The following is a 12,062-nucleotide window of genomic DNA, read 5'->3' as shown; positions in this document are numbered from 1 at the left end:
TTTTTTTTTTTTTTTTGAGATGAAGTCTCGCTCTATCACCCAGGGTGGAGTGCAACGGTGTGATCTCGGCTCACTGCAACCTCCGCCTCCTGGGTTCAAGCGATTCTCCTGCCTCAGCCTCCCGAGTAGCTGGGACTACAGGTGCATCCCACCATGCCTGGCTAATTTTTGTATTTTTAGTAAAGATGGGGTTTCACCATATTGGCCAGGCTGGTCTCAAACTCCTGACCTCGTGATCCACCCACCTCAACCTCCCAAAGTTCTGGGATTACAGGCGTGAGCCACCGTGCCCAGCAGAGATGACATTTTAAAGCTTACTTCAAATGACAGAAGTCTGGCAATTTGATGTGGGAGGGATATGACACTAGTACAAGGAAAATCAGACAGTCAACAAATTGTCAATTAGAAACAAAAAGTTTTGAGTGTCTAAAATATACCAGGCATTTTCTGTATGTTGTTGTTGTATGATATGAGAGGAAGATAATATAATGATCGGTAAGTAAGTTCCTCAGACTGACATTTGTCTATTGGAGAAAATACAAGACAATTTGATTCACTTCAAAAGTCTGCAATTTGAGTTAGATAAGAAATTTTAAGAGGCAGTTCTTTTTGTGACAGCAGGAAAAGTGTGCTTACCTCTTCCTTTGAATTACCAGTGATTCATTGCATGTCTGTAAGTGCTGTGCTCAAAGGTCAAGGTACAAGTCTTCCTTACATGTGTGAGGTTTTTTTCCACCTTTGAACTTCTTAAAAGGCTTTTATTACAGTGTGCCCCAAAGATCAATGTGTCTTGTTTTATCACTTTGCATTCTAATAATGCACCAAAGTTGGCTATTTGCCAGGGTTTTTTTTAAAAGGTTTTGCTGAAAGAAGATAAAACAAGTTTGGGAGGAATTTCTATGTGCTATTTTCTCTTCATTTTCCATGGACAAATCCCAGCAAATACAATTATAGAAAACCCTGTCTTGTCTTTTCAGATTGAGACTGGTGTGTAATTCTTGGAAGCCAACTGAGTTGACAGCTTCAATTCAGAAATTGGACAATAGCATCTAAATGGGGGTTCTGTGCAGAAAATTTTCTTTATACATTTTTTTGGTCAGTCTTAAAAGGTATTAAGTAATACCTATAGACTTTGCATGTCCCCTTCTGTTTACCTATGTGTGTTTCTCTCCTTCCTGGTATTTTTAACTGGCTCCTTTTATCCCCATGAGCTAGCTCCTCAGACTCTGATTTTAGAGGCACACAAGTTTCACAAACTTCACCAGTTATTTTCCATAACAAAAAGTGTATTTTATTGAAAAAATGACAACTCATTGTTAGCTAATTCCATTGAAGATAGGAAAATCATATGTTTATTTAAACTTCATTGACAATTTTTCTCTACTTTGATATGCTATTTAGTGCTAAATCCTACTTTGACAAAAATGAACTCATTTTCTTCCACCTCTCAACCTGGTAATTTTTTGTGACTTGCCCAGTACTATCAACAACAATGCCATTGGCTCAGGATTTAAGACTTAAAAGCATGAACTGACTTTTGGCCCCTATTTCTTTTCTGCTTTTCTCAGATACCAGAAGTAGTAAATTAAGCCACCAAAACATATTTTCTCCATGCATTTCCTATCTGTTGATCTCATTTAGAAAAGCCTGCTCCTAAGTTTTCCTAATCAAGACCTTACATTCACACCACTCTAGTTCTTTTTTTTTTTTTTTAATTTTTATTTTTTTTATTGATCATTCTTGGGTGTTTCTCGCAGAGGGGGATTTGGCAGGGTCATAGGACAATAGTGGAGGGAAGGTCGGCAGATAAACAAGTGAACAAAGGTCTCTGGTTTTCCTAGGCAGAGGACCCTGCGGCCTTCCGCAGTGTTTGTGTCCCTGGGTACTTGAGATTAGGGAGTGGTGATGTTTCTTAACGAGCACGCTGCCTTCAAGCATCTGTTTAACAAAGCACATCTTGCACCGCCCTTAATCCATTTAACCCTGAGTGGACACAGCACATGCTTCAGAGAGCACAGGGTTGGGGGTAAGGTCACCGATCAACAGGATCCCAAGGCAGAAGAATTTATCTTAGTACAGAACAAAATGAAAAGTCTCCCATGTCTACTTCTTTCTACACAGACACGGCAACCATCCGATTTCTCAATCTCTTCCCCACCTTTCCCCCCTTTCTATTCCACAAAACCGCCATTGTCATCCCGGCCCGTTCTCAATGAGCTGTTGGGTACACCTCCCAGACGGGGTGGTGGCTGGGCAGAGGGGCTCCTCACTTCCTAGTAGGGGTGGCCGGGCAGAGGCGCCCCTCACCTCCCGGACGGGGCGGCTGGCCGGGCGGGGGGCTGACCCCCCACCTCCCTCCCGGACGGGGCGGCTGGCCGGGCTGGGGGCTGACCCCCCTACCTCCCTCCTGGATGGGGCGTCTGGCCGGGCGGGGGGCTGACCCCCCCACCTCCCTCCCGGACGGGGCGGCTGGCCAGGCAGAGGGGCTCCTCACTTCCCAGTAGGGGCGGCCGGGCAGAGGCGCCCCTCACCTCCCGGACAGGGCGGCTGGCCGGGCGGGGGGCTGACCCCCCCACCTCCCTCCCGGACGGGGCAGCTGCCGGGAGGAGACGCTCCTCACTTCCCAGACGGGGTGGCTGCCGGGCAGAGGGGCTCCTCACTTCTCAGACGGGGCGGCTGCCGGGCGGAGGGGCTCCTCACTTCTCAGACGGGGCAGATGCTGGGCGGAGGGTCTCCTCACTTCTCAGACGGGGCGGCTGGGCAGAGACGCTCCTCACCTCCCAGACGGGGTCGCGGCCGGGCAGAGGCGCTCCTCACATCCCAGACGGGGCAGCAGGGCAGAGGCGCTCCCCACATCTCAGACGATGGGCGGCCGGGCAGAGACGCTCCTCACTTCCCAGATGGGATGGCTGCCGGGAAGAGGCGCTCCTCACTTCCTAGATGTGATGGCGGCCGGGCAGAGACGCTCCTCACTTTCCAGACTGGGCAGCCAGGCAGAGAGGCTCCTCATATCCCAGACGATGGGGGGCCAGGCAGAGACGCTCCTCACTTCCCAGATGGGGTGGCGGCCGGGCAGAGGCTGCAATCTCGGCACTTTGGGAGGCCAAGGCAGGCGGCTGGGAGATGGAGGTTGTAGCGAGCTGAGATCACGCTACTGCACTCCAGCCTGGGCACCATTGAGCACTGAGTGAACCAGACTCCGTCTGCAATCCCGGCACCTCGGGAGGCCAAGGCTGACGGATCACTCGCGGTTAGGAGCTGGAGACCAGCCCGGCCAACACAGCGAAACCCCGTCTCCACCAAAAAAGTACGAAAACCAGTCACGCGTGGTGGCGCGCGCCTGCAATCGCAGGCACTCGGCAGGCTGAGGCAGGAGAATCAGGCAGGGAGGTTGCAGTGAGCTGAGATGGCAGCAGTACAGTCCAGCTTCGGCTCGGCATCAGAGGGAGACCGTGGAAAGAGAGGGAGAGGGAGACCGAGAGGGAGAGGGGAGAGGGGAGAGGGGAGAGGGGAGAGGGAAGAGGGAAGAGAGAAGAGGGAGAGGGAGAGGCAGAGGCAGAGGCAGAGGCAGAGGCAGAGCCACACCACTCTAGTTCTTATCTCCATTATCTCTTCTTCACTTTACTTCAAGTCTTTTAGGGATGACCTTTCCAGCTAAATAAGTTATCAGGGCATCCAATTCACTTTTTCTTTGTTTAATATCAAGATTCTCCCCAGCTCAAGAGTTCTGTTTCTTACTTTCTATTGCAACACTCTTCTAACTGGCTTCTCTGCTTCTAGTCTTGAACTCCTCCAGTCTAGTCTCCACATGCATCCAGAATGATCCTTATGAGGACTAAATTCATTCATGGTACTCCACTGCTGGAGGCTTGGGTCTGGTTTCCCAAGCCTCATTTCAAGATACATTTCAAATTTTTCTGCATGGTATTCAGGACTCACCATGATCTGAGTTTCACTTCCTTTCAAGTTCCATCTAAACTTCCATTTCCTCTTCTCCTGCCCCACTTTGCACAAAACACTCCAGACATAATGAGCTACTTACTGAATGCCCAGGCAGCTTCATACTTTTTCTTTTTTAAACTGGGCAGTCTACATAGAATGCCAATTCTGATTCTTTTTCCTGGCAAATGTAAGTTCATCTTTCAAGGCATTGTTCAAATTTCATTGCTTCTTTGAGATCTTTCCTAACCCGCCTCCCTCCTTGGAGACCAGCCTTCTCTCAGAGAACCTCTAAGACCTTACTTCTCTAATTGATGCCTTAAAAGCCTATTAATGCAGTAGAAATTCCCTCTGTCTCTGTGTACTTTCTCTTCAGTCTGTTTTGTAAGAGAGGATGAAAAACTAGAAACTACATTTAGATGTTTTAGCAACCAAGGCTCTGGTTGTGAAAAAGGATTCTACCAACTAGACTATGTTCTATAAATCAGAAGTCAGATGCTTTTCTTCCTCTCTTTCTCTCTCTCTGTGTCTCTCTGTCTCCCTGTCTCTGTCTCTGTCTCTGTCTCTTTTTTAATACTTTGCTGCTAGCATGCAGAACATGGGATGTGAGGGTTTAGAGGCAATGGCCAGGCTCAGCATTCTACCATCTGGAAGCCATCCCCATAGGTAACTGGAGACAACAAAGCCGTGGCATCAGCAGATGCTGCCCTATGCTCTGCAGCTTTATGAAGTTTGCCTGAATTCAATTGTCCAGTGGTGAGCCCCTGATTTTGGCCCTTCTATTCCTCCCAGAAGTTTTATAAATATCCATTTCCCTATATTATATTTCGTTGTACTTGAAGTACCTGGAATGGTTTCTGTTTCCTAGATTGAAACCTGATACATTTGCCTCTATTAAACTATAACTTTTTTGAATGCAAGAACAGGTGTTTTTCTTTCTACCCTCTTGGGATGACCACAGAGCTGGCTTTCACCAAATAGATGGCTGATTCACTAGATGAGCCAATAATGACTCTAAATGATGTATCACAGTAAACATAAACCTGTTTACTGACACGCAAACCCCTGAAACACAAACCCATCTTTCAAGGCTCTCCTTCTTTACCTGGCCAACCTTGTCCCTTCCTGTGCTTCAGTCTAGTGATTCTAGTTATTATATTCCATACACGTATGTCCTGCCCCTTCCTCTATCTTTTTGTTCCAGTGGTTGCTCCCGTCTGCAGTGTCTTCCTTCCTTTCTGCCAATTCACATTTACCACTTCTGTCAAGAAAAAACATAAATATCACTCTTTATAATAAATATTCTTTTGCTGATGCCCAACCATGAAAAGAATGTTTACTTCTGGTGCTTTCTGGCATTATGCTTTGCTACTCTATATCAGTTAAAATAGCTTTGGTTCCAAGTAAAAGAAAAGCTAACTCTAATTACTTAAACAAATAAGGATTAAACTTCAGTTTTGTTTTGCAACAAAAAATCTGGAGGTGAGAGACTGCTGGTTTTGGTTTAGTAATTCGAGAATGTTTGTAGCAGCTTCAAGTGATTTTCTTGACTTTTTCCTCAAGGATGCCAATGACACCCAAAGATCCAGGTATCGTGCTTGTATTCAAGGCAGACACACAGGAGGGAGATAGAGCCAGGCCGGCCTGTGCCTTTTAATAGGAAAGCAAAAGCCTTTCTAGAAACCACTTAGCATACTTTTACATCTATCTTATTTCTGAAGACTGGGTCAAATGGTCATCCCTCACTACAGAAGAGTACAGGAAAGCAAGCTTTCAGCTGTGAGATGGAAATAAGACAGTTGGAAATGGCTATTGGGTTACCCAAACCAAAGTGACTACCCTATTTACTAAATCTTCTAATACCATCACTACTATTTGGGCAAATTCATGACCTCGTATTTTTCTACAATTTTCAGACGTGCTTACCACTGTGCTGCATACCTGGGCATAAAGATTTCCAGTAATATAAATAACTTAGATTAATGCAATGAAAACTCTACCATTGTCTAACATGGAGTAGATTGAGAGAGATAAAAACACACTAATCAGATTGTCTCACATGAATGCAATAAAATAAGAAGAGTGTCTTAGTTCACTTTATGTTGCTAATAACAGAATACCTAAAACTGAGTAATTTATAAAGAAAAGCAATTTATTTCTTATAGTTATAGAGGCTCACAAGTTCAAAGTCAAGGGGACATATCTTGTAGGGGCCTTCTTACTGGTGGAAACTCTCTGCAGCGTCCCCAGGTGGCCCAGGACATCACATAATGAGAGGGGGCTGAATGTGCTAGTTCAGGTCCCTCTTCATCTTCTCATAAAGCCACCAGTCCCACTCACATGATAACTCATTAATCTATGAATGAATTAATCCATTCATGAGGGCAGAGCTCTCATGACCCGATCACCTCTTAAAGGTCCCACCTCTCAAAACTACCACATTGAAGATTAAATTTTGACATGAGTTTTGGAGGAGACAAATATGGAAGCCAAAGCAAAGAGTGTGAGAAGTTTTCAGATGTATTTTCCTATTGCCAATTGAGGGTCCTTGGCCTCTTTTAATATCATCAATTTAATAGCATTTGCTTTCTGTGTTTATTATAGTATGCCAATGTCACTTCTAAATTCTAGTTCTTAAGAAATGGCAAACAATTGTGGATGGTCGGTAGGTTCAAAACATCAGTTTTTTATGCTTATGAAATTTGTCTTGAGTTCAATATGTTTGTGAAGAGCAATGAAACACTGGTTCATATAATAGCTGTTTAAATGAGAGGGAAAGTGTAGTCTGAAAGATTTGAGCCATTATTTGTGACTACAATATGAATTTTACAAATCTGAAATGTTAAGTTAGGAAGAGCTGATGAGTCTTTTATCCCAAACAGGCTTTCCTTAATATCAGTACCAATCATTAGATGATCAAATGGCATTCTTATTTTAAATTTCCCCTCCCTGCCACTCCCCCAGTATTTTTTTTTTTACCATGAAATAATGTTAAAATGAATCTTGAGGCAGGGTTGAGGGATATGGCTGAAATAAGCAATCACAAAAGTACTCCTTGTGGAGAAACAAGGTTTGCCTTTATGATGGCAGAGTGGCTAAACAGTGTTGAAATGGGGAGGCGGGGAATGGCTTTTGGTGGATTCTGTGCAGTGACTTTCAGGCCTCTTTTTAAGCACAATCTAATGGATTCTCTCTGTCCCTGTCATCCAGGCTAACCAGTACTGTCTGGTGCTTTGGGGCTGGCCACTTACTGTAGGAAGTCTCTGCTCAGATTATAAGAAGGAGTGCTTCTGCAATAATCACACCCTTCCCTCTGATAAAAATTAGATATTACAGCCTTTACTAATTATAGGCTGGTGGCTCCGGTGCTCTTCCGATAGTAAATTGCTTTGAGATAGCAGCTGGAAATTGGGTAGTAAAATAAATCCAGAAGAGACTTGTCAAGCTTTTCTTGCTCATAAAATGAAAATAAAATATCGTATTTGTGAAGTTCTATAGAAGGAAAAATTGGAAAGATCGCTCAAGTTGCTTAGTAAAGAGAATTTTGCTGTCAAAACATCACCACATCAGCCACTGTTAAAACAAAAATGCAATCAGGAAAATTACTTGAAATGTTTATGTTTACTTCCAGTTTTGAAATTAGAACATCATGTTCCTTCGGGTTGCCATTCAAATTCTCTCTTCCTCTCCTGATTCCCATAAATGTAGTAGTTGATAAACTCCTCTCTTTGGAAGTAGAATGACTACTCCAAAACTATTTTTTTTTTCTTTTCTGAGAGCTTCACTGCCTGTATGATGCCTGGAAATTACAAACACATCTAGTTCAAGTTCTTTATTTAATAGATGTTTGTTTCTGACTTTATGACTATCATGTAAAATCTTTGCTGAGTATTATTGAACTACCTTGGTTTCCAAGTCAAAAGACATTGAATCAGCTTGGGTTTTGGTGACTTAAGAACTCAGGGCTTTGTGAGTAGAGAAACACCATTTATTTATACAGCTGTTCTACACATCTGCGCAGTCCTTCCTCATATTTATCTACCCGCCCCAACCCCGCACCCCTACCTTCTACCTGCCTAGTTCTATCTTTTGGAGCAATACCGAATATCTAGGCATTGAGCCAGGCCAGCAAGTGCAATAGTCGCATGTCAGCTGACAGGTAAAAAAGGTTAGTGATCCATTCAGGTGGGGGCAGCTATTCTCACCTAGGGACAAGCCGCTATATTAAAGTCCAAATTCTGTTCTGATTGTCTTTAGTTATTCCTTTTGTTTTCTCTCCGGCTTGTCACTTTTGTTTTTCATTTTTTCCTCCAAATAGAAAAAACATGATCAACTCAAGAGACACAGGAAGGTAAGTGCTAGGATTACAGGACAGAGCACTCTTACCTCTGGTTCTATGTAACACAATGGACAAGCAAAGAGAACTACCCACTCACCTTCCCCGCACTGTCCTGCCTTGCCGCCCACGTTCCCCCACCATCTTGTGTGAATGTGTAATCATTTCGAATCAAATTTTAATACCAGTTTTGGGCTCCATTTTCCAGCTGGGGAGTGATTGAGAGGAGCAGGGTGGGGAACAACCGTCTGAAAAAGTTACATAAACCTCAATTCCAGGAGACTCTAACTCAGATACGTCATTCTCAAATTGTGGCTCCAAGACCAAGCAACAAACCTCGCGAGACAACTGAGTCGACGACGCAGTGGGAGCTTCGCGGTCCCGCCGCAAGGGGGAGCACGTGTTTGCTGAACCCGCCCTCTGCGCGTGAGCGTGGGCGTGGGAGTGGGCGCGGGCGCAGGCGAACGGCTGCCGGTCAGGTGTCCTTGTCCCCTTGAGTTGCGCGGGTCGTGTTCGAGGGCATGGACGACAGGTACCCTGCGCTTCAGCGGGCCCAGCTGCGTCTGGATTTCATCCACGCCAACTCGTGAGTGCCGAGGTGGGGTCGGGGTCGGGGAGGGTCTCTGCGCCCGCCATGAAGAAAGGTTTTGCCCGTCCCCTGAGGAATACTCAGCAAGTGAACTTGATTTATGGATTTATTTATTTATTTGAGCTGTATAGGCTTTTTTTAAAACGATGAAAGCATAATAAAGATATATTCTGGGCCAGGCTGAACCCTTTAGGTGCTCTTCAGTGAACACCAAGTGGTTGGAAGGCCCTACATTTATCATTTAACACAACTGTTTAATTGTTGGTCAGCAGAACTGTGATTCTACCAATCCTGCCTAACCTTAGTCTGCCTAACACACTGACAATTTAAACATTAAAGTTGCCCTTCAAACAGAGTAATTTGCATATATTGATTTCAAACTCTATGGCCTCCTGAGTCTTTTCAAAAATGTAACCTCTCTAAGGATAGGAATCTCACCTTTTAGTTATTTGGTCATTTCTTCTTCTCTGCCATGCCTGTCTGCCTTTTAGAGCTTCTCAGGTGTCATTTCAGATAGTCAGATTGCAGAGGGGAATGACAGAGGTTTTTTCTCTCATCTGCCATTTCCCATACAGCAAATTATAGCAGTTAGTGCTATTTAATTCACAGTGGAACGTCCGGGTTTTTCTTTATGTTTCTTTTTTTTTTTTTTTTTTTTTTGACATCTTTTGGTAATTTGGATTTACTAAATATAGGAACAGATATCAGGGATGTACCAAATTTGAAACCACAGAAATGGAGGTATAAAGAAAGCCAGGGAAGGCCACCCTTGCTCTGTGGGACAGACTGTATAATTTTAACATAGCAGAGTTAAACAGGCAATATTCAGCAGATACTCAGTTTTCATCTCTCTTTAGAGAATGATGTCAAGCTGGAAAAGGTGGAACAAAAAGTTAAAAGGTAGCTGAGGTGGAAGACAAATGAAGAAATAATAGTTTCGAGTGAGTTTAAGAAAAATGCTCAGGGCAGTGCTGGAAGGACTGTGAATTTTATCTCAGAAAAATTCCTCAGCCTCAGTTTTATATGGATTTTGTGGCTACTGCTTCACAACCTCCATTCCCCCAAACCACCCTGTGGTAGCCACTTCCCCAGTACCATTTTCAACTGGTGGTGTAGTAACTTAACAAGTGACAGTGACATGGAGTAACAACAAAATTAGATACAAATGGAAGACTTCTCAGCTCCTCCAGCTAGATTGGTTGGTTGGATTTGGAGACAGGGTCTTGCTCTGTGGCCCAGGCTGGGATGCAGTGATATGATCATAGTTCTCTGTAGCCTTGAACTCCAGGGCTCAAGTGATCCTCCAGCCTCAGCCTTCCGAGTAGCTGGGACTACACGCATGCACCCCTATGCCCGGCTAATTCTTTTTTTAAAAAAATTTTTAGTAGAGATGGGGTCTGGCTATGTTGCTCAGGCTGGCCTTGAACTCCTGAGCTCAGGTGATCCTCCCACTTCGGCCTCCCGGAGTGCTGGGATTACAGTCATGAGCCACTGAGCTCTGCCCAGGTAGATTTTTGTTTGAGACTTCCTACTGCAAAAGGAGTGATTTTTAAATTTCTCCCTTTACCTCTATGTCCAATCCAGAGTGCATGCTTTCTCTAAATATGTTTCAAATCATCCATTTCTCTCTGTCTCCACTGCCACTGACTTTAGTCCAAGCCACCACTGTCCCTTGTCCAGACTACTCCAGACAGCCTCTTAACTGGGTTCTTTGCTTCCCATTCTGGCTGCTAGATGGTCCATTTTCCTGGAAAGCTGCCAGAGTGAGCTTTTTAAAATGTAAACCAACTTACGCCCCTTTTCTTAAAACACTACAGTGGTTTCCAGTTGTATGTCAGCCAAGTACAAGCTCTTCTCTGTGGGCTAGGAAGCCCTGCATGACCCAGCCATGCCCTCATTTCAACCTGTTCTCCCCATTTTACCATAAGCGGAGCTCACTGGTCTCCTTAGCTCTTTTTCTGCTTCGAGGGTCTTTGTATCTCTTGCTCTTGGTAAAAAGTTTCTACCGTACTCTGCAAGGGAGTGAATTCTCTCATCCTTCAGGACTCAGTTTAAATACCTTTTACCAAGAGGTGCTTTCCCTACCACCATGCCCCTCCTCACCAGTTACTCTTTCCCATCACTACTATGAAGTTAGCACTCAGTCAAAATCTGTAATATCATCCTCATAAGTTTGTTTACTTGTGTGTTTTCCGTGTACCCCACCAGCTTGAGCTCCAGGACATCCAAGACCCTGCCTGTACACATTGGCACATGGTAGGCAGTCAGTGACAATCTCTTGAATGAGCTAGTGCAGAAATTCATATGACATTTTTGGTCAGAATTACTGCAGTTGCTTTTCTAAAGGATTGTTTATGTATTGAATTTTTGTATATTGAATCATGTACTTTAAATTTCCTAGAAGGGCTTGTGATTTAAAGTCCTGATTTTGTAAAGCATATCGTATTTCTCTTTTACACTATTTTACATTTTTATAATGGCTTTCTTTTGGGTGAAGGACATCTTTTTGTAACAATAACATTTTAGTAGTTTTTTTTCTTAATTACAAAATTTAAAGCTTACTTGACTCATGAGACTTTTAATCATCCTCTGTGTTTGAAACTCCAAAATGTGGGGATATATTCTCTCTCTCTGTGTGTGTGTGTGTGTGTGTGTGTGTGTGTTTTAAAAATACATTTTAAACTAAAGTGTTGTCCTGTGGCCTGAGGTTGCAGATGATGCTTTCTCTTGTATAGAAGAGCAGATGTATTTTTGATAAATGAGGCTCTCTTGCTTCTGTTACCTGTTTACTAAATATAGAAAGAAAATTGCATGCTGAATATTCCCTTAATGCTGTGATAAGGTTGCTGATTGAAATATGCCTCATCAGGACATGAGAAGCAAGCATGGGAGCCTTAAGCTAGTGTGATTCCACCCTCAGATAACTGTGCACCCTCCAAACTGTTGTAAATACTGAAGGCTGTCTGGAGCATTCTGTTACCGAGGACCTGGCATTCGAGGGTACAGGAGAAAGTGACCTGAGGCCATTTTTAAGGTTATGTAAGGAGCAGGCTTTTCAGCGGTGGAAAGATTCTGCAGAAAAATACAGATTGGTGAGGCACGCAAGGGCTTCCTGCCAGTTCCTTTGCCTGCACATGGAGCCTTATGGCCTTTTAGTAGGCAAGGATTTTGATCAGTATTCTTCAGAAATATCTTGTC

At 44.0% G+C, this 12,062-nt stretch overlaps 1 protein-coding gene across 7 annotated transcripts in view; it reads left to right on the top strand.

Annotated features, from left to right (window-relative positions):
- The first annotated feature begins 8,721 nt into the window (after positions 1-8,721).
- Positions 8,722-12,062, top strand: part of MORC1 (MORC family CW-type zinc finger 1) — a 159,887-nt gene continuing 156,546 nt past the window's right edge. For all 7 annotated transcript variants that reach the window (NM_014429.4, XM_005247362.3, XM_047447968.1 and 4 more), the window contains exon 1: positions 8,722-8,861. In NM_014429.4, coding sequence (NP_055244.3) covers positions 8,797-8,861 — 65 coding nt within the window. In that variant the 5' untranslated portion in view covers positions 8,722-8,796. The remainder of the gene's footprint in view (positions 8,862-12,062) is intronic.

This window comes from Homo sapiens, chromosome 3, assembly GCF_000001405.40.
Source record: "Homo sapiens chromosome 3, GRCh38.p14 Primary Assembly".
Taxonomy (NCBI): Eukaryota; Metazoa; Chordata; class Mammalia; order Primates; family Hominidae; genus Homo; species Homo sapiens.
Note: the sequence above shows the minus strand (reverse complement) of the source record. Positions and strands in the feature narration are given on the sequence as shown.